General features: G+C 45.6%; 1 long non-coding RNA gene across 1 annotated transcript, besides 2 other annotated features; it reads right to left on the minus strand.

Moving 5' to 3' along the window:
- Positions 1 to 4,950: 4,950 nt before the first annotated feature.
- LOC101927566 (uncharacterized) lies at positions 4,951 to 21,026 on the minus strand. Its single transcript, XR_245320.4, has 5 exons — positions 20,912 to 21,026; positions 12,387 to 12,527; positions 12,107 to 12,242; positions 8,034 to 8,180; positions 4,951 to 4,998 (listed from the first exon to the last, which is right to left on the minus strand). It is a non-coding gene; the product is annotated as an uncharacterized LOC101927566 (long non-coding RNA).
- Positions 20,931 to 21,080: an enhancer, noted in NCBI's record as "active region_26939". NCBI's record gives its function as "activates an Ori minimal core promoter by ATAC-STARR-seq in GM12878 lymphoblastoid cells {active_cell/tissue: GM12878}" and the evidence as "EXISTENCE:reporter gene assay evidence [ECO:0000049][PMID:35858748]".
- Positions 22,975 to 23,064: an enhancer, noted in NCBI's record as "active region_26940". NCBI's record gives its function as "activates an Ori minimal core promoter by ATAC-STARR-seq in GM12878 lymphoblastoid cells {active_cell/tissue: GM12878}" and the evidence as "EXISTENCE:reporter gene assay evidence [ECO:0000049][PMID:35858748]".

Below are 23,216 nucleotides of genomic sequence, written 5' to 3' on the forward strand. Positions count from 1 at the left end.
CCGACTGTACATTTGTTCAATTCTGAGATAGGAGAAAACCCCCCCCTATGGTGGGAGGCGAGACATGTTTGCAGTAATGCTGTCTTGTTATTCTTTACTCCACTGAGATGTTTGGGTGGAGAGAAACATAAATCTGGCCCACGTGTACATCCAGGCATATACCTCCCCTTGAACTGAATTATGACATAGATTCTTTTGCTCACATGTTTTTTGCTGACCTTCTCCTTATTATCACCCTGCTCTCCTGCCACATTCCTTTTGCTGAGATAATGAAAATAATAATCAATAAAAACTGAGGGAACTCAGAGACCGGTGCCAGTGCAGGTCCTCTGTATGCTGAGTGCCGGTCTCTTGGGCCCACTGTTGTTTCTCTATACTTTGTCTCTGTGCCTTATTTCTTTTCTCAATCTCTCATCCCACCTGGTGAGATATACCCACAGGTGTGGAGGGGAAGGCCACCCCTTCAAACATCAAAAGCAATGGCAACAAAAGCCAAAATAGACAATTGGGATCTAATTAAACTAAAGAGCTCCTGTACAGCAAAAGAAACTACCATCAGAGTGAACAGGCAACCTAGAGAATGGGAGAAAATATTTGCAATCTACCCTATCCGACAAAGGACTAATATCCAGAATCAACAAAGAACTTAAACAAATTTACAAGAAAAAAAACAACCCCATCAAAAAGTGGGCAAAGAATATGAACAGACATTTCTAAAAAGAAGACATTTATGCAGCCAACAGTCACATGAAAAAAATGCTCATCATCACTGGTCATCAGAGAAATGCAAGTCAAAACCACAATGAGATACCATCTCACACCAGTTAGAATGGTGATCATTAAAAAGTCAGGAAACAACAGATGCTGGAGAGGATGTGGAGAAATAGGAAGGCTTTTACACTGTCAGTGGGAGTGTAAATTAGTTCAATCATTGTGGAAGACAGTGTGGCAATTCCTCAAGGATCTAAAACACGAAATACCATTTGACCCAGTGATCCCATTACTGGGTATATACCCAAAGGATTATAAATCATGCTACTATAAAGACACATGCACACATATGTTTATTGTGGCACTATTCACAATAGCAAAGACTTGGAACCAACCCAAATGTCCATCAGTGACAGACTGAATTAAGAAAATGTGGCACATATACACCATGGAATACTATGCAGCCATAAAAAAGGATGAGTCCATGTCCTTTGCAGGGACATGGATGAAGCTGGAAACCATCATTCTAAGCAAACTATCACAAAGACAGAAAACAAAACACCAAATGTTCTCACTCATAGGTGGGAGTTGAACAACGAGAACACATGGACACAGGGTGGGGAACATCACACACACACTGGGGACTGACAAGGGTGGGGGCTGGGAGAGGGATAGCATTAGGAGAAACACCTCATGTAAATGACAAGTTGATGGGTGCAGCAAACCAACATGGCACGTGTATACCTGTGTAAAAACCTGCAGGTTGTGCACGTGTACCCTAGAACTTAAAGCATAATTTTTAAAAAGTGGATTATGAGCTTCAAATGGGCAGTTGGATTTTGAACCTAAATGCCACAGACAGCAACGGTTGGTAGAGAGGTGGGCTCAAAAATGGAAGGGAGGGACTGTGGAAGGGAGAAATGGAAGAGGTAAACAGTGCTGCCCAAGGGGAGACCTCAGAGGCCCTGACCTGCTGGGTAACCTATCCCGTAGCAGAGACACTGAAAAAAATATTCACGTGGCCAATTGCCTACCACTGTAGGTGGCTCTCCATTATGCCAGGGGCCTGGGAATTCCCATTTCCTTGGACCAAGAGTGGCTTGAGCAAGCTAGTTGGAAGACAGCATAAAGGAAGGGTTAGCAGCTTGCTATTAGGAAAATACTTCTAACTTATAGGGCAGAAAAGGGCAAGACCAATACTCCCCTAGGGAGAGGGCTATAACTCATATATCCCTCAGAATCCTAGAGGGAATGTCAACACAAATACTCCAGATCATATGGGGGGTGGCCAGAATACCAATGTTGAAAACTCAGAAGGCCCAAGTTTCAGCCAACAAGGGTCCCTTCACCAAATCCTGAAAACCCTGGGGCACCCAGAATGCGGCCAACAGTCAATCCAAGACCAAATTGGGGTCAGCAAACAACATGACTCTAGCATCCCGAAGTAAAAACAGTGGGGATCTCTCACAACCAAGTATCCTGCCTTAATCGTCCCCAAACAATTAACAGAAAGGTAAAACCAAACATAAGACTGCACACATTTTAGGACTGAAAATAAAATAACTAATGGAACAACACAATGGAGTCCGAAGAGAAAGTACTCAGGGAAGGGGTGACAAGGACATGCTCTAGCCAAAGACGTTTATTTCATTTCCTAGTTCTCCTGATACTATGGCGATGGGGGCATAAGGGACACTCACCTGTCCACCAGAGCACATATGGTGCTGACTGATTTTCCCCATGGGACCCAGGTGAAGATCTCGCCAGGATACCTCAGCTTGGGTGGACTTAACTGCCACAAAGGGTGGGTCCTGCACAGGGGGGGCCTGTAACCCACTGGTCGGCCAGTCAGACAGGTGGGTGTCACATAAGGTGGTGACACTATGGCTGCCCTGCCAGTAGGCTCAGCTGCCGCAGTGGGAGGGGCCTGCACTGTGTCAGTAACCCACCAGGCTGCAAATTTTCTGAACTTTTATACTGTGCTTCCCTTATAAAATTGAATGCCTTTAACACCACCCAAGTCACATCTTGAATGATATACTGCTCAGAAATTTCTTCTGCCAGATACCCTAAATCATCCCTCTCAAGTTCAAAGTTCCACATATCTCTAGGGCGGGGGCAAAATACTGGCAGTCTCTTTGATAAAACATAACAAAAGCCACCTTTGCTCCAGTTCCCAACAAGTTCCTCATCTCCATCTGAGACCACCTCAGCCTGGATTTCATTGTCCATATCATTATCCGCATTTTGGTTAAAGCCATTCATCAAGTCTCTAGGAAGTTCCAAACTTTCTCATATTTTCTTGTCTTCTTCTGAGCCCTCCAAACTGTTAGAACCTCTGCCTGTTACCGAGTTCCAAAGTCGCTTCCACATTTTCGGCTATTTTTTCAGCACCATCCCACTCTACTGGTACCAATTTATAATATTAGTCTATTTTCACCCTGCTGATAAATACATACCCGAGGATGGGCAATTTACAAAAAAAAGGAGGTTAAATGGACTTATAGTTTCACCTTGCTGGGGAGGCCTCACAATCATGGCAGAAGGCAAGGATGAGCAAGTCACATCTTAGGTGGATGGCATCAGGCAAAGACAGAGCTGTGCAGAGAAGCTCCTCCTTATAATATCATCAGATCTCATGAGACTTATTCACTATCACAAGAACAGCACGGGAAAGACTTGCCTCTATTATTCAATTACCTCTCACCTGGTCCCTCCCACAACACCAACCATGCTTGGCTAAGTTTTTAGTTCTAGTTTCATAGAGATGGGGTCTCACTATGTTTCAGGCTGATGTCAAACTCCTGGGTAAAGAGACCCTCCAACCTCAGCCTCCCAAAGTGCTGAGATTACAGGCGTGAGCCACCAAAGCTGGCCCGTTTTTCTTGATATATCAAAATTATTCCATACAGTCAGATAACTTTTCTTTTCTTTTCTCTTCTTTTTTTTTTGAGACGGGGTCTCGGTCTGTCGCCCAGGCTGGAGTGCAGTGGCGCGATCTGGGCTCACTGCAAGCTCCGCCTCCCGGGTTCACACCATTCTCCTGCCTCAGCCTCTCGAGTAGCTGGGACTACAGGAGCCCGCCACCACGCCCGGCTAATTTTTTGTATTTTTAGTGGAGACCGGGTTTCACCATGTTAGCCAGGATGGTCTCGATCTCCTGACCTTGTGATCCACCCGCCTCGGCCTCCCAAAGTGCTGGGATTACAGGCGCGAGCCACCGCGCCCAGCCAGTAACTTTTCATGTGGTTACTAACAGCCATGGATTTCCCTGTCCAAGGTACCAGTTTTTCGGTTGCATTTCTCTATATACTCATAGCCGTGGACACTGTCTACCTGTCTGATGAAATTCAAGTAACCTTTTCATTAGGTTTAACTTCCAAGAAATCTAAATGGGTTTCTTATAAACAAAAGCAATCACACTATAGGAAATTTTTCTTTACCTTTCTCACAACTAGCCTAAAAGACAAAAATAAAGATTGTACATGTTATCAAGGCAATTCCTTCCTTGTCTTAATTGGGTTTTAGATTAGTTAGGAAAAGAGCTATAAAAGGGTTAATGTTTTTACATCTATGTAACCTTCTGTATTGCTATTATTTAACAGTGACCCCTGATTCTGTTTGATTGAGTGTTTTGAGTCTTCTGACATCTTTGGCAGGTTTCTTCAAGATTAAAAACCTATATTAAGTCTTTTTGGCCTAAAACTAACTTCGGGATTTTGAAGGTTGACCCCTGGAAACCCTCAAAAATATTGCCTCTTACCTTATAGAGATTAAATGGTTAGACTTATCTGGTAAAATATATGGGCGACATTTTACCACACAGGGCACAAAGGATATCAAGTAATAAGTGATGGAAGATCTTTCAGTTACACTTATAGGTATGTTATTGATATAAATGTTCCTGACATAAATGTTCCAAAAATCATATATATTGATGAAAATCTGTTGTCAGCCATACTTTTGTTTTGTTAAATATCTTCTAAAGTTATATTCATATAAATATGTTATAAATGTAAGTATTCTAAGATTATATACAACTTATAAAGATCTCAGGGACCTGATGCAAAGCTGTAAGACATGATTCTGGTTGTTATAAAATGCTACATATAATAAATATAACCAAATTTTCTTATGAATTGGGAACTTTTGTCAGATTTTAACCGTGGTTAGGATTAGCACAGTGGCTCATACCTGTAATCCCAGGACTTCGGGAGGTTGAGGTGGGAGGATCTCTTGAGCCCAGGAGTTCCAGGCCAGCCTGGGCAACATAGTGCGACCATGTCTCTACAACAGAAAACAAAGTTAGCTGAATGTGGTGGCATGTGCCTGTGGTACCAGGTACTCAGGAGGCTGAGATGGGAGGATGGCTTGAGACCAGGAGGTCAAGGCTGCACTGAGCCATGATTGTGCCACTGCACTCCAGTCTCAAAAAGATTAAAAAACAAAATTTATAACAGTATTACTGTTCCCTCAAAAGCTACTCCTACAGGAGTGGCACAAAGGATATCAGGAAAAAAAAAACCCTCTTAAATGCTATTCCCATTGTCTTCCCACAGAAAATTGCCTGGTCCATTATCGAGTCATGAAAACAAACAAAAAGGATAAACCAGTTCCTTATTACAGAGCTGGACTAAAATCTTATATATAAAACCATTCTAGGCTTAAAATACATAATGAAACAACTGAAATGCCTTACAGCCTTTTAAATGAATAAACTCTTAACAGAGCTTGGAGACCAGATTAAAAAACATAAGATTGGATAGAAAGTCATTGATATGACCCAATTGGTCACTACGAGTAAGCGCTTTGAAAGACTTTTAGAATCATAAAAAATGCTAAAAGAAAGAATAAACAGGCTAATAAACTAATATCTTTACAAGTACAAAAGCTACAGGAACAGACCTCCTTATATCTGTTATAACTCAAAACTGATATGTCCTAAACAAAGGAAACCTGGGTAAGCTCTATACCTCGAGATGGCTGCATTCATTGTAAACAATGAGGTCCCTGGAAGACATGTCATCTGCTCTTGGAGTAGTCCTCTAATAGGCTGGCTCCTTTTGGGCCACACAGTATTCCCATCAGAGAAAGTCCCCGAGGGTTTGACAACAATCCACCCTGCAGGGGTGGAGGACCTGAGGAATTCTCTGGTGAGGAACTTCCTGTAATACCTTTTTTTTGAAATTAAAAAAAATATTGTGGGTACATAGTAGGTATATATACTTATGGGGTACATGAGATGTTATGGTACTGATATGCAATGTAAAATAAGCACATCATGGAGAATGGGGTAATGCATCCCCTCAACCATTTATCCTGTGAGTTACAAACAATCCAATTACACTCTTCTAATTACTTTTAAGTGTACAATTAAGTTATTATTGACTATAGTCACCCTATTGTGCTATGAAATATTAGGTCTTATTCATTCTATTTTCTGTACCCATTAATCATTCCCACCTCCCCCCTGCCAGCTCCCCCTTCTACCACTACCCTTCCCAACCTCTGGTAACCATCCTTCTACTCTTTATGTCCATGAGTTCAATTGTTTTCTTTTCTTTCTTTCTTTTTTTTTTTTTTTTGAGACAGAGTCTCACCCTGTTGCCTAGGCTGGAGTACAATGGCGTGAACTTGGCTCACTGCAACATCCGCCTCCTGGGTTCAAACAATTCTCCTACCTCAGCCTCCCAAGTAGCTGGGATTACAGGTGCCCGCCACCATGCCCAGCTAATTTTTGTATTTTTAGTAGAGATGGGGTTTCACCATGTTGGCCAGGCTGGTCTCAAACTCTTGACCTCGTGATCTGCCCCCACCCCCACCTTAGCCTCCGAAAGTGCTGGGATTACAGTTGTGAACCACCACGCCCAGCCCAATTGTTTTCATTTTTAGTTCCCACAAATACGTGAGAACATGTGATGTTTGTCTTTCTGTGCCTGGCTTAATCCACTTAATATAAAGATCTTCAGTTCCATCCATATTGTTGCAAGTGACTGGATCTCTTAGTTTTTTATAGATGAATAGTACTCCACTGTGTATACATAACACATTTTCTTTATCCATTCATCTGTTGATGGACACAGGTTGCTTCCGAATCTTAGCTATTAACTAATACTAAGATGATGAAGATTCTTGTACACTATTTGTGGTCACTGGAGTCACTGTATTCACTTTAATAACAACTCTAATAAATCAAAGTATCCCTCTGAGTAAAAAAATACTTCTGTGATGGGTGTTTCAAATCCTATCCAGGGAATCCCCATGTCTCAACCTGTCCATATCATGCTTGGATCATTTTAGAAAAACATGCTTTCCTACTATGTGATACTGCCCCAGGAAATGTGATGGAATGACATTTACTTTCTGAGTTGAGAGAACACATAACATTCTGTTTCAAGGGAGAAATCATCTTGGAATTTCCGGATTCTCCAGAACACAAAATTATTAATTAAATTATTAAAAGAATTAAACCTATAAAATATCAAATAGACTATTCTAAGCCATTGCCTAAATTTTCCCAATATCCACTAAAATTGGAGGCAGTTCAGGGACTTTCACCAATTATAGAGGAATTAATTAAATGAGGACTTATAATTCCTTCACTACTCCCTACAACATTCCAATCCTACCAATCAAAAATCTAATGGACAAGTTGGAGACTTGTTCAAGGTTTACGTGCAGTAAGCAAAACTGCAATCCCAAGATTTCCTGTGGCCCTAAATCCAGAAACCAAACAGAGGAAAATTTAATAGAACCAGGTCTTTATGGAGGTCACTGTCACCACATCTGAGTAACTTGGGTGCAGAATCTGGGGACATGATTGACTTTCCTTAATTGGATCTACACAATTTACCTGAGGAGAAATGTTTTGCTAAAGAGGCTAGCCTTGATTAGATTTGGCTTAACAGGAGCCAAGTTATTCAGGTGGGTCCCTTGGATTATACAGTTGATGAGATGATAGGACTGATTAGCATATATAATTGATGAGGTTATCAACTGCATAAAAAGAGGGCTCACCACTCACATGGTGCTTTCCCAGGAGAGTGGAAGAAGCTCTGAGCACCGGAGTGTGGTGACAGCGACCTCCATAAAGACCTGGCTCCATTGGATTTTCCTGTTTGGTTTCTGGTGAGTACTGGAGAAATTTTTACCAGGGCAGACGCATCCCATTTATTTTCGTCAATAAATTTTAACGTGAAAATTATTGTTTAATTGGACTACAGGTATTTGGTGGCAAGCTCTCTGAGAGGAGTTTAGGTTACTGTGGACATGTAATTTCTCTCGAATTCTAGTTCATATGTAATGGTCAGAGAAAAACTTACCTAATCTTGGCACACAGGAGTTGATTTCTCTGGGCTGGGCATGTTGGTTCATGCCTGTAATCCTGCCACTTTAGAAGGCTGAGTCGGGAGGATCACTTGAGGCCAGAAGCTGGATACCAGCATGGCAAACATACTGAGGTCCCATCTCTACAAAATATAATTTAAAAGTTACCTGGGCATGGTGGTGGCTCATGCCTATAGTCCTAGCTGCTTGGAAGGCTGAGGCAGGAGGACTACCTTGAGCCCAGGAAATGGAGGTTACACTGAGCTGTGATCATGCCACTGCACTCCAGCCTAGAGTAAAGAGAGAGACCGTGTCTCAAAAAAAAAAAAAAAAAAAGTTGATTTTCTGCAATTAGATTAGTGGAAGTATACAGTACATAAATAAGTATAATAAGCTGAGACCCAGAGAATAGTTCTCCGAGGAGTGACATATAAGTTTAGACTGTGGGAAAGGGAGAATGAAGAAAAAATGTGTTTGTGTGTATTGGGGTGGAGGTATATGTGGATGAAGGCTGATAGTAAAGAGGGAACAGATAAAGTCATGCTTAATTTTGATTATGCAATTCTTAGGGGCCCTGTAAAAGATTGGTTCGTGGATGCGTTGGTGTTGTCATTAAGAAATATCGGAGACTAGGGGGTGTATTTTTGTATGGTTTTGTGGAGGAGGTAATATCCTCAGACATTTCATTGACTGCAACTATGCAAGTGTAAATGATCTCAGAAGTAGAATCCAGACAAGAATCTGTCACTGTCAGTTTGGAGATAGCAACGGAAGAAATGGAAGCAATTGAATACATGTGTGAGAGTGCCAAGATAGGGTACAAAAAGAAGAGAGAAGAGAGTCTAGGATGGAATTCTGGGTCATTTAAATAATATCATTTGTGCTATTTGCAGAGAACTTAGGGGAGTAGTGACTACAGAGTAATTTTAAAACAGTAGTATGAAAAGGAGAGAATAGTTTGGTTCTTTTCTGTTCCAAGTAAAAGACTAAGGAACACCCATTAGGTATTTTATGGAACAATTATTGGTGTTGTTGGCAAGACATATTAATGAACAGACCATTGGTGGTCTCAGTAAGTCAAAGGGTGAGAGGGGATGAGGAAATGTTACCATTTTGACTTTCAATTTTCAGTTCAACTATGAGGGAAAGCACAGGAAAGCAGATACTAGAGAGAAAATAGGTTTAGATGTGGTTTTTGTTTCAAAAGCTTCATGATGATAGATTGGGAAGAGTAGAAGGAGCTGGTAAAGGAGATTTACTATATAAGTGGTAACATGAAGCTCCTAAGGGCAGGAGATAAAGCTTGAATTTGAATCAATTAAACATGCCAAGGGAAGAAAATATTTCAGTTTTATAGGCAAGAAGTAGTAATGGATGGGTATGGATTAAAGTAGAACTGCAGACTTCATGGCAGTGAGCTAAGGTAATTGGTGAGAAAATTTAATTCATCTTGGTAGGAGGAGGAAATTCCATCTGTGTAAAGTATGATAAAGGTAAGTATGTGCGTGATGCAAAAGTCATGGAGTAGATTTGATGTATTCATGGAGCTAAAAGAATAATTTAGATAGCAAGATACTGTGGGATTGCAAGATATATTTGAGAGTTACTGGGTATTGTGTGTCCGTATTAGGCCAGGATCAATCTCCTAGTCATGTTCTCTGTCAGAACTGGCTGCCGAATAGGAAAAAATATGAAGCCACTAAGATTGGTGTTTAGATCCAGAGTAAGATCAGATAGTAGGAGGTAGTAAGAGGTCAAATGGACAGATAATTTTTGATGCTGCTGGTCAATATTGAAGAGCGTCATGGTGATTAAGCTAAGCAGTGAAAATGATGAAATTTGAGGGCCAATGGAAAGAAACTAGGTTCAACTAACTCTAGGGTCCCTGCGGTAGAAAACTGTGGACATTGGAAATGATTCTGTGAACATCCCCAAAGGAGAGAAGGCTATGATTATGGGGTGTGGCCTCTGATTTTTTAAAATCTGGAATCAACAGTAAAACCTAGGTATAGTATGTACTTCTCAAGGTGACCATATTTAGAAATGTGAGTGTGTGAGCAGTGTTACAATTAGACTAGACTTAAAATCTTACCAGACACGTGGCACAGGTCTATACTCCCAGCTGCTAGGGAGACTGAGATGGGAGGGTTGTCTGAGCCCAAGATTTGGAGGCTGCAGTAAGATATCATTGCACCACTGCACTCCGGCCTGAGCAACTGAGGGAGATCCCATATAAAAAAACAAACAAAGGTCGGGCGCGGTGGCTCACGCCTGTAATCCCAGCACTTTGGGAGGCCAAGGCGGGTGGATCATGAGGTCAGGAGATCGAGACCATCCTGGCTAACTCGGTGAAACCCCATCTCTACTGAAAACACAAAAAATTAGCCGGGCGTGGTGGCGGGCGCCTGTAGTCCCAGCTACTCGGGAGGCTTCGGCAGGAGAATGGCGTGAACCCGGGAGGTGGAACTTGCATTGAGCCGAGATCGCGCCACTGCCCTCCAGCCTGGGCGACAGAGCGAGACTCCGTCTCAAAAAAAAAAAAAAAAAAAAAAAGAAAAAAGAAAAAGAAAAAGATGTACTGGACCCACTTTGGAGCTCTGAAATGTTGTCATGTTACTAAAGCCTTCTGAGCCCACATTCAGCTCACTTCTTACACTGAAAATAACACCAACAGCAGGGTTATTGGGAGAGTTATTTAGACAAATAGATATGTATATAACTAGGTAAATCTATATCTATATCTGTGATCTTCAAGGAGAGCGTCACGTGTAATTAAAGTTTAAATAATTTACTTTTTATTTTTATCTGAACCTTAGGTGAAAGCAGTGAGTTAAGGCTACGTTGAGAACTCTGTCAGAGAGTGCATTGATCACCCACCTGCACCTACAAAGATGGGAAACTGCCTGAGACGCCCCACCTCAGATGACACTATTGTGCAACCGTCGACAGGGCAGGATCTTAGGCCCCTACTGCCACATATGGAACAAGCTCCAGTTCCAGTCTATCACCCAGCACCTGGCCAGCCTCTGTTAGCAATACTGCTGACTGAAGAAGAACAAGTTAGAACAGCTCAAAGACTAAGCCTTCTACAGTGTCTGCCTGAAGAAGTTTATGACCCTGGAAGAGATAAATCAGAAGAGGAGATGCCAGAGTGTGTGATCTGTTTACTGGAATTTGTTTGTGGGGACCCCATTCGATGTCTGCCATGCAAACACTTCTTTCACCTTGACTGCATAGACACATGGCTGCTGCGATCTTTCACATGTCCCTACTGCCGGGGGCCAGTGGATGCAGCGCTGTCTACATCCTTGGGACAAACTGGGTGACTTCAAGATAAACATAATTTTTGATGGTTTTGGTTTTTTGCCACTAAGCCAAAGAGCCAGGGAATAGAAATTATGATGATGCACAAAAAGTTTTCTAAAATTTTTAAAATAACTACAGATGCTGGGACATAGTAAGTGACATTTTAGAAACTTACAGGGAAAAGTAGGGGGATTTTTTTATGGACAGCTTGACCCAAGGTTTATAAATACAAGTGCATTTAGATTTTGTTTTTGTTCTAGTACGTAGGAATTGTGTAAAGTGTTGCAGCAGCTGTATTTGTTTTAATTGTGTGAAGATTAGGAAAAAGATTGTGGTTATTTTTACTAAATGAAATAACTTCTCCCCAGTGCAAACCCTTAACTAAAGTTACTGGCATTTACCTTAAGGTGTTAAGAGCTGCATTTACATGTTCAAATAAACTTTCACAAGGCCCTTATCTTTTTTCTCCAACATTTTATGAGAGGTTTAACTTTTTAAATGTCTCATAAATACAATCAAAATTTTAAAAAGGGCGCATCCCACACAAGAAGCCCAGTTGAGTTTGATGTCTGTGTAATCACGATATGTCTCCAGGAATGTAGTGCTAATTATGTTTATTTTCTGTGTTCCCTGCTTAAGGAGAGCTTTCTTGTGTAACCTGCCTCTGGTGTTTTCTGTTTTTTGTTTTTGTCTCTGTTTCCTGCTATTCAACCATCTTAGGAAATTTGTTCTAGCAGCTCAGGAATGGCTCATGGGCCTTTACCTCCTCTGAGTGGTTTTTCTCCTGACAGGGGACACTTTGCATTGATCCCTGAAGCAGTTCCACTCCTCAAGGCAGCCTTCTGTGGCTCCCTGGACTGTGCTCCTTCAGAGGAAGACCTCCAGACCTCAGCTTCTTCCTGTATGACATGAGGGAGGCTGGCATTTATACACTCATTAAAAATTCATATTTTAAAGCATTTTCCAGCAAATCCACCCCCAGAAGAGAACAATTTTTCTGCGTCTCCCGAACCAATTATTCAATAGTGCGCTGTGATACCCACCCAGCGCAGGCTGGAGACAAGATGGGGTGTGGACTCTCGGGAGGCGGCGACTCCAGGCGTCCACCAGAGCGGGGCTTACGGTCCCCGAGGCGGCGCGGCTGAAGAGTTGGTTTAGGTTTAATGAGAAACAACTTGGCAAATCTGAAAAACAATAGTTGGGAAAAGTGTTAAAAAAGACCAAGCCCAGGAGCTTAAGACAAAATCTGGCAGTTCCCTCCCGCGGCCGCCAGGGGTCAGTGCGCACCTGAGGAGGGGGAGGCCCGGGATCGGCGAGCGCCTGAGGAGGGAGGGTCCGGGGGTCACTGCGCACCTGCGGAGGTGGGGGCGGCCAGGGTCAGTGTCCCCCTGGGGAGGGGGGGTCAGGGGGTCAGCCTTCACCTGAGGAGGGGGCGGCCAGGGTCCGTGCCCACCTGAGGAGGGGGGTTCAGGGGGTCAGCCTTCACCTGCGGAGGTGGGGGCGGCCAGGGTCAGTGTCCACCTGGGGGGGGGTTAGGGGGTCAGCCTTCACCTGCGGAGGTGGGGGCGGCCAGGGTCAGTGTCCACCTGGGGGGGGGTCAGGGGGTCAGCCTTCACCTGAGGAGGTGGGGGCAGCCAGGGTCCGTGTCCACCTGGGGGGGGGTCAGGGGGTCAGCCTTCACCTGAGGAGGGGGCGGCCGGCGGTCAGTGCGCACCTGAAGAGGGGGAGGCCCGGGGTCAGGGCGCACACGGGGATGCGGCGGTCGGGGGATCAGTGCCCACCTGGGGAGGGGGCGGCCGGGGGTCGGTGTGCAGCTGCAGAGGGGGCGGCCGGGGTCAGTGCGCACCTGCGGAGATGGGGGTGGCGGAGGGTGAGTGCGCACCTGGGAGGGGACGATCTGGGGGTCAGTGCGCATTGGCGGAAGGGGTAGTCCGGGCGTCTGTGCCCACCTGCGGAGGGGGTGGCAGGGGGTCAGTGCGCAACTGCAGAGGGTGCGGTCCGGGGGTCAGTGCTCACCTGGGAGGGGGCAGTCGGGGGCCAGTGCGCACCTGGGGAGGGGGCAGTCTGGGGGTCAGTGCGCACCTGCGGAGGTGTGGGGGCCGCCGGGGGTCAGCGAGCAGCTGAGGAGCGGGCGAGGCCGGGGGTCAGTGAGCACCTGCGGAGGAGGCGCTGGGAGTGGGGAGAGGGGACCAGGAGGGGCGTGTGGGGAGACGGGAGAGGGGCTTGGGGGTACCCTGAAGTGAGAAGTGGGGGGGCAGGGAGTGGGGTCTGAGGGGACAGGGGAGTGTTAGGAGGATCCTGCAGTGGAATGTGAAGGGACCGAGACGGGGGTGTGGGGGGACCACAGGGGATATGGGGGCATGAGGGGTTGGGAGGGTTGGGGGGACCCTGGAGTGGGATATAGGGCCACCAGGAAGGGATGTCTGGGGAACAGGGGCGGTGTGGGGATGTGGGGAGATGGGGGAGGGGATTGGGTGGGACGTGGGAGGACTGGCAGGTGGGCTTTGGGGACAAGGGTGGCCAGGGGGACCCTGGAGGAGGATGTAGGGGGCACTCTCTGTGGGATGTTGGGAACAACCTGGTTGGGGGCTGGGCAGAGTGGGGCAGATTTCCTGTGCTCCTGTGGAAATGCAGCCTGGATAATCGCTAGACCAGAAGACCACAGCACAGAACAGTTTTAGTTGACAGAGCCCATAATGTGAAGCCAAATCCATGTGGACATGCTTAGATAGACATGATATTTTTGTGGAGGGATTCTTCAACTGCTAAGAGTGGGAGTAGAAATAGAAGAGTGGGGAAGGACACAAAACCTTATATTTCATTTCATAACCTTTGGAATTCTTAATTTTTTCTATGTGCATGTATTACCATGTAATAAAAATTAATTTAAAAGACATTTAATAAGAGTATAAAGGCATGAAGGACTACGGTAAGGCATGAATAAATTATAGTGTGCTTGAAGTTTTCACCATAGGATGAAAGGACAAACAGAGAATTAGGAGTATTGTTTTCCACACCAAAATATCATGACTTGGCTGAAGAAATATATCTATCTGTATCTGAAATCAACATTAATGTTATCAAATAATTCAGACTTAGAGTTTTCAATAAATGTATAGAAATTGTTTTATTCAAAGACTAAGGGGGAAAGGGTGAGAAATTAAGTCTAGCAGTACAATTATAGAACCTCTGGTGTATTCTCATGGGAAAATTAATGTTTTAGGTAAAATGGAGACGACAGTAGTTACGACAAATACTTGAGAAAAGCCTATGAAATTACTGACTTTGGTAGTCCAGCCAAACATTTGCTTCAGGAAAAGCATCCAGAAATATAATGATTTAGGGATATCAAGGTATACTATATAAAGCATTGTTGTATATATTATTTCCTCTTTTCCCTTGGGAGGTAATATCTGAATTATTATCAGACTCCTAATGAGGAAACACTCTGAGAAGTGAGAAGCCTGCCTTGTGTCAGAGTGGGTAAATCAGAGAGACAAAGGCGTTAGGGCTTGAACTCAGGCCCTCTGACTTTGCAGGGTTCTATTGAAGTGGCCACCTTGCCTGAGGCTATGAGGCTGAAGGAGTGGGCAGAGGAATACACTGTGGTCATTCACACCTGAAATTATCATCTTACCAAGGAACCACCTTTCCCGATTAGGTGACCAATTCACTATTTATCCTTTTACTATTTCTTAGAAACCCCAAAGCCAATACATACGCTATTCCTTTGTAAATTATAGGGTCAATGAAGTTGAATTGATTGTTTCTGGCCCCTCTGATAAAGGTAAATTGAGTAAAGTGTAAACGTGAAACAGCATGGGTTAGGATACTTTTCAAGGATTTTGGTGCCAATTTCTGTTTTCCCCATGGCTACCCTCATATTATCTTTGCTTTTAGGCATTTTTTCCTTCAGATATATAGGTTTTATGCACAAATGTTAGTGAAACAGACTGTTAACTGTGAGGTACAATTTTTGTCCAGCAAATTTTAGTTTCCACATGAAATGTTTCATTGAATTTGGATAATTTGAAAAGAGGAATACATTATTTTATAAATTGTTAACTGTTTTAAATTTGGTTAGGGGAAGACAGTGTGGTGATTCCTCAAAGACCTAGAACCAGAAATACCATTTGACCCAGCAGTCCCATTACTGTGTCTATACTCAAAGGAATATAAAACATTCTATTATAAAGATACATGCACGTGTGTGTTCATTGCAGCACTATTCACAATAGCAAAGACATGGAATCAACCCAAATGCCCATCAATGATAGACTGGATAAAGAAAACGTGGTACATATACACCAGGGAATACTATGCAGCCATAAAAGGAATGTGATCATGTCCTTTGCAGGGATATGAATGGAGGCGGAAGCCATTATCCTCAGCAAACTAACACAGAAACAGAAGACCCAACACCACGCAGTCTCACTTACAAGTGTGAACTGAACAATGAGAACACATGGACACAGGGATGGAAACAACACACACTGGGACCTGTTGTGGGGGTGGAGCGGGGAGAGGGAGAGCACCAGGAAAAATAGCTAATGGATGCAGGGCTTAATACCTAAGTGATGGGTTGATAGGTGCAGCAAACCACCATGGCACACGTTTACCTGTGTAACAAACCTGCACATCTTATACATGTATCCCATAACTTAAAATAAAATAAAATAAAAATAAAATTCAGAAATAACCACCCTCCCCCAAGAAAAAAAGAAGGATGAGAAGAGTTAGAGGTTTGTTTCTGTGCCACCCTGTTCCAGAAAAGAGTTGAAACAGTTTACAATGAAGTATTTAATAACATAAAACCAAATGAAGATAGAAAATTATAGAGTAAAAATGGAATATCAAGACAGGAATATGAAGAGACAGGTAAGTGATGAGCATTGTCACAGATCTTATCAGAGGCTGAGCTCCTATGCAGAATCCATGAATAACTAGACCTAAACCCTATGCAGCTACCTGATAGATGTCATATGCTCAAAAAGGTGTTAGCAAGCAGTGGATAGCCGTTGAATCTGAGCCTGAATGTATGTTGTATAAAGACGATGTGTAAGGAGTAATGTGTTCCCTTATCCACATAACACCACCACTGAACAAAGAGCAAAAAGAAAGAGAGGGAGGGAGGGAAAGTATCTATCCTACATGTTGACAGCAAAGTTACATTGTTTGAATACCAATGTAAGGAGCTTTGGCACCACAGTTGCAGACTGCCTTGAGTTCATACATTCTCAACCTTAACAACAATGTAATTTTTGCAACTAGAGACTTTTTAAAAATTAGGGCAGACAACTATATTCAAAACAGTAGGCTCTGTCACTTCAAGATCTGCTTTGAGAAAGGCAGTGATAATGGAGAGAGTATTTGCTGAGGTGACTAAAAAATTGAACACAAACGGTTTTTTCTGTCAACTGAAATGACCACTATCATTTTGAACTTTCATAATTTTAGGAACACATAGTTGGTTTTCATTAAGCTGAGGATGGCTTTGACCACCTGGTAAAGACTACAATGTCACAGAGGTCAAAACCACGACAGACGCTTTAGATGTACACATAGTCATGTAAATTATAATGCTTCGTTGAAGTGAGGAGAAATCACACTTACATAGCTTAAAAATATCTCACTGGATTTTGCTCAAATTTGTATCAAATATTGTACTGAAGCGCTATTCAAGATCAGAGCCCCATGGATAAGCTCGGGGCTTATCAAGAAAAATATACACAGCTGCATTGATTTTCAGATACACAGAACTCTAGAGAACGGATGTGATCAAGCAAACAACCTAACATTTTCAAGGGGCTAAACCAAGGCCCAGAGTCGGGAGGGGACTTACCCAGACTCACAGGGAGCAGTGCCAAAGCTGGGCCAGACACACATCCCCCTGGCGCCAGCCAGCTCCCCGACATAGGACAGATCAGAGTAATACTTGAAAATTTACAATTCACTATGTAGGATTTGTGTTCCTGGAGAAGGAAGTCGGTTGGTGGGGGCAGGGCAGGGGGGCAAGTGCAATGTACAAGTGAATGCTGTGATCCCTAAATACCCGAGGAGATGAGGGAAACCACAACTGGTGACATCAGGGGAGTCAGAGACGGCACTGTGACAGGGCTTGAGTAAGGACGTGGAGCAGATCAGAGTTCCTGGACAGGACAGTGCGTGGGGTGAGCACCTGGGTAAATGGAAAAGGAGGAACCAGAGGCCTGGGGGAATTCATGATGGACTAGGTCACTTTGGGCCATATGGGCGAAGGGGATCAAACAATTAATTTTAAAAAAGAGACAGATTGTACGTCTCCTTGAGATTTAGCACCAGAGATATAGAAAGTGACAAGACACAGTTCGAGCCCTCCAGCCTCACCACACAGAGCAGACGACAAACCCTAAACTGATCACTACATGCAATGAGAGAAATGTCGCACTGGGGAACACAACAGGGCATGGAAGACCTGTGCAAACTGTTAAGAAAATGAGACCAATTCTTCCTGGGAAAGTGTGACAGGTTCTGAAGAGCACCAACCAAAGATCTGCAGTGGGGGCTCTGAGAGTGGAGTGAGGGGAGGGGCAGTGAGAAGCACCTGCCCCTGCACTGCTAAACAAATCCCACACCAGAGCCTGCAGGCTCCCCAGCTCCAGCTCTAGGCCTGTGTCCACTTCCTACCAAGGCTGTTTCCTCCCGCCCACCTCTGTCCCCACATTTTCACTCTGAAATCATGATACCAGTTTGCTGTTTTCAGAAACATCTGCAATTCCAAAGGAAAAAATCTAAAAGAATATCTAATGATGACGTTTCTCATTAAAATACCTTTTTGATGTTATTTGCCTTCTAGTGAAAATCATACCTAATCATTTTTGAATTAATTTTCAAAAATTTTTGGAATATCAAAAGAATATTACATTTTCTAAATTGGTCAGTTGGGTTAAACACAACAATGGAGACACACACAAAAGAAGCAATACCTGAGGCTTATAGTCAACAGTTACCCAATATGGACACTCAGAAATCGTTGCGTTACTTATTTTTAACCACATCCTATCTTCTTTAAATAGTGGTATCTGAGATTTGAGAAGGCAGTGAGTTGCAGTTCTTCGAGAGCACTGAATTCCTACAGATATATTCATTTTGTTTGTTTTCTCACTTACCTTTTTTATTCTTGTTCATCAAAGCCATGACATAACAGGTCCACAGATCAGGAAAACAGCTCATTACATAAAGGGGGAAATCAGATTCACACACTACCTCGACTTTAGCCCAAACCCAGATGGCAGAGTCTCCTCCAGGGTGGGAAAGTAGCCATAAGCATCCGTTTCAGTCACTCCACATGTGTATTCACACGACCTGCGGGGCGCCCCAGAGGCCAGGCGGCCGCTGGTTCTGGGGACGTTTTTCAGAAGAGCAAACGCACCGGATGGCAGGTTTTGGAAATGTTTCCCCTAAAGCAGACCCCAAAACCCAGCAGCGCTGAGCACTCAGGACCGTTTGTATCTGTGTTATTGCCCATGAGAGAATAGATGGCATGCAAAGACATTATTATTAAAGTTGGTAGTGCAAGAACACACAGCAAATTTATGTCTTGTAGTCTAGATAAAATATTACAGTCTCTGCTACAATTTCAGCAGGCTCACTGGGGCCTGTGACCCCAGCATCCTGGGAGCTCCACGTAGCCCACCTTAGCGCTGGGGTCCAAAGCCCTCATCCAACTCACACCTCGCACTCCTGCCACTCACAGGTGAGACTGAGCTGCTGGGAACATGGGGCCGTGCTGACTTTCCTTGTGCCTGCCCTGGCGTGAACACAGGACATCCTGCACGGAGCATGGGGAGGGGTGTGGTGGGTGTTCCTTGGCTTCCGGTTTCATGTCCCCAGTCATCACACCCTCCTGAGCAGGTACTTCCTCAGTGAGTGGGATGCTCCATCTGTAGTGAGAACCATTGTGATCCGTGCAGGCAGGGTGCTGAAGAGGTTGAGAATAGGGGAAGGCTGCCCAAGGGGGAGATTTGATGCTGTTTACTCTGAGGCCTTTTGTGGAGGCCGAGCACCTCACTCTCTCTCGCAGAAGGAGGCAATTGAGAAGTTGTGACCCAGTGCAGGCTGGGCTGCTTACCGTGTGCAAACTCAGCAAGTGCAGTGAATGGAAAGCCACTTTATTTCCATAGCCACAGGGGGAAGTGGCCAGGTTTACACCTAGAGAAACTGCTTTGAAGGTTGGCTGAGGGCAGGGGTTTAAGAAGGAAAGCTTGATATGGGAGGCATTTCACATTGTAATGGTAAGCGAGTGATGGGGGTGTGACATCTGTGTCTCTTTTTTCAGTGGCTATCTCGGGTCACAGTCCTCCTGGAGCGTGGACTGGCATAACCACAACAATGACCAGGTTGTGGACGAACGGCTTTAAGGTGATATTTGAAATTTTGCAGCTGGGTCTCCAGGTTTGATCTGTCTCAAGGTTAACCCCTGTAACTTCTAAGTAAGCACACAGTTAGATAATGTGGAAAGGGTTTACAGTCGGAGAGGGAGGGATGTGGAGTCTATTTTAAGGTTAAGGGGAAAAGGCTTCTGCAGTCTGCTTGAGACTAGTAAGAAAAGAGAAAGCAAAAAAAAGTTTCAGAATGCATTTTGAAGCAAAGCTGCTCAGCTACAAGGTTAAGGGTTATGAGCCAAGGTGATCCCCTCACCTATGCATCAGCATGAAAGTCAGCATCATCCCCAAGACGTGTGAAGAAACGAGTTCAGAAAGATGGGATATGGCATTCAGGGAGCCCCAAATGACAGGGCCGGGATTCACTCCCAGGTTTAGTTTAGGCTAAAGACCATGCTTCTTCCAGGACCCCTGGACTTCCTTAGCACTGCCCCCCACCCAGAGCTCTAGGGCCCTGGATCCTGAAGATGGGGGGGGCGGTCCCTGGGTCAGATTTGTCCCGTGCCACCCTCCTGGGAGAGGCTGCAGTAAATAAACCAGGGCCCAGGAAGGCCAAGGGCAGGACCCTGCCCCACAGTGAGGAAGAAGGAAAGAAACCCGGGAGCCAGAAGTGGGAGGCACACAGGAGGGAGGTTGTGGGTGTAGGAGTGGGGGGTTGGGGGACTGAGGGGTGGGGGAAGGGGGTGTGGGGTGGAAGGTGTAGAGGGGGGATGGGGGTGAGGGGTGAGGGGTGGGAGGTGGGGGTTGGGAGCGGGGGATGGGAGGTGGAGGTTGGGGTACAGGTGAGGGGTTGGGGTATGGGGTTTGGGGTGGAGGGCGAGGAAGGTATAGGGTGGGAACTGGGTGAGGGGTGAGAAGTGGGAGGTGGTGGGTGAGGGTAAAGGTGGAAGGTGTGGGATATTGGGCTGGAGACTGTACGGTGGGGTGGGAGTAGAGGGTGGGGTTGGGGTGAAGATTGTGGGGTGGGGGTAGGAAGTGTGGGATGTGGGGTGCAAGGTGGGAGGTGTGGGTGGGGTTGGGGGTGTCAGGTGGAAGCTCTGCTCTCTCCTTCACTCCCACAGGCCCAGCTTCAAAGCACATTTCCAGCACCCTCCCAGGAACCGATGTGATTCAAAGAAGTGAAACAGCCTCTCAGAAAGGCTTACCGGGCTTAGGATGCAGCCTGCTTGAGTTCGGTTCCTTTTCAAAGTCAGGTGCTTCTCATCTATCAACTGGGGGTCCCAAGAGGCAACCTCACCCAGTTAAAAAAGGATTAAATGCGCTTTCTATGCAGACTTGAGGCTTTTCCCAGCATGCAATCTGTCAAGGGCCTGAGATAACAAGAGGGTGGAGCCCTGCAGGAAGGCGGCCCTGGGCACCGGCAGCTGCCAGCAGAATGGCCAGTCTGCTGCTTGTTTACACAGCAAATTACATTTTCCGATAACATATCATAACAGATTAAGCCTGAAAAACACATTCTTTCCAGGCCAGCAAGTGCTTCAGAGGATTACTCAGCCCACAGGGCTTCTGACCTCCCTGCTCTTAAGGTCAGGGGAGCACAGGTTCCCATCTGCCGCCTCCAGGTCCCAGTCCGAACCTGGAACGCAGCTGATCTCAGCATGGAGCTGCCCTGCGGTCGCCACACCCAAGAGCTGGAGCTCACTGAGGCGAGTTACTTTCTCCTGGGAGACGCAGCCAGCTCTTATTTTAAAGCACATAGCATCCACCTAAATGAATGAGCACTTTTTTTTTCTTTCCAATGAGCACCTTTAAAAATTTAGTTTGGAATGACTACAGGGGCTAAAAGCCACTTCTTGGGGCTTGGTTTTTCCATAGAAGGAATGCTTGATCGCTTCAGCAGCTGAACCTGGGGAGCCACTACATTCCTGCTGGTAAAAAATAAATCCATTCCCCAGGGAGGTACCCTTGGGGTCCAGTTGCCCCAGGACCCAGGAGAGCTGGTCTTTCACGGAGAGGTCAGGAGAAGCAGGGATAACATGCTGTTCCATGGGTCATGAATCTTGGTGGCGGAGGCTGCCCACGGGTGGCCCGTGAAAATGTGGGGTGTCTGTTCCTCAAAGTGATAGTGTGCCTCATTCTATGCCCCTGACTTAACACAGCTTCTGGACCCCACAGCCCGAACCCATTTCTGCCCCCTCACTACTGGGGCTCTCATTATGTCATCGACTGGGTGCCCCCTGTGGGGCAGAGGCTTGCAGGGAGGCCTGCCCGCCTCCCAGTGCCTGTTCTTGCGGCCTGCACATGCGTAAAACCCACACTGCAGGAGTCATTCCTCTGTCCAGGAAGGCTCTGCAGCCTCTTCCTCCCTTCACAAAGTCTGCCAAACTCTCACATAGGAGAGGAACTCATGAACCCTGCTCCACTGAGACACCCGCGGCAGAATCGGGCCATGTCAGATTTGGGATCATTCAGCAAATGCTTATGGAACACTAACCTTGGCCACATGGGCCCAGGGCTCTCAGACATGTGGCACACGAGACAGGCAAGGGCCTGGCTTTCAGGAAAAATTATATGAGTGGCAAGAAAGACCACAAATGTTGACTTGGTGACTATATAGACCAGAAAAGCTCATGGAGCGATGGGCCTGTGACACACAGTGCATCCTTCAGGAGCTCCTCCTTCCAGCCCATTAGAGTCATGGGGAGGCTGGGAAAATGGGAAGGTCGGGGTGAGGCAGAGCAAAAAGCAAGGAGACACAGGAGGGAGTGTGCTCGCCCCCCACTCGAAGTTCAGAAAGAAGCCCTGAGAGGCTGCCCTGAGAGCCAGGGAGCGATGAGGACTGGAAGCTGCAGGGAAGGGTTTGGCTTCTTTTCATCTTTTCAATGTGGATGTGACTGGCCTCGATCTCCCTCCTTAAGGGCTCATTTCCTTTGTAGAGAGGAGAGTGAGAGGCCAGTCAGAAGGTGTTGGCCTGGTTCAGTTGAGAGATGACTTTGGCAGAAGAATCAACAGGACTGCTTTGAGACTGGATACTGGGGCTAGGGGAAGGAGAGGGGAAGTGGGGGAGTCAGATTCCAACGCCTGTAGGAGGAACACCCATGAACAGAGCTTTCCTAGCTCCCTGGATGCTTCTGTCAGCATGGGACAGCCTAGGCCAGAAGCAAACCTGGTTTCAGTGATGCCTGGAGGAGGATGTGGGTAACCCCACCTGCACCTTTGCTGCAAAATTCCCCCAGGGATTTAGTCCTTAGCTGGAGCAAAGGTCAGACTCTCTGATCTTCACTGACTGTGGAGAGAGGAGTGGAGTGGGTCAGAGAATGGGCACAGAACAGACGGGAAGAAGCATGACAGGGAAGAGGCCGCTGGGCCTAGAGCCAGCAGCATTGCTCACACAGCTGCAGGAGCCGTTAGCTCTGTGTATGGTTACTGTGTGACGGACTCCAGATGCCCTCGGGAAGCCACAAGCCACTGCCCCCAAGGGGTGAATAGCTGCCCTCTCACCAGGAGCAT

This window comes from Homo sapiens, chromosome 8, assembly GCF_000001405.40.
Source record: "Homo sapiens chromosome 8, GRCh38.p14 Primary Assembly".
Classification (NCBI taxonomy): Eukaryota; Metazoa; Chordata; class Mammalia; order Primates; family Hominidae; genus Homo; species Homo sapiens.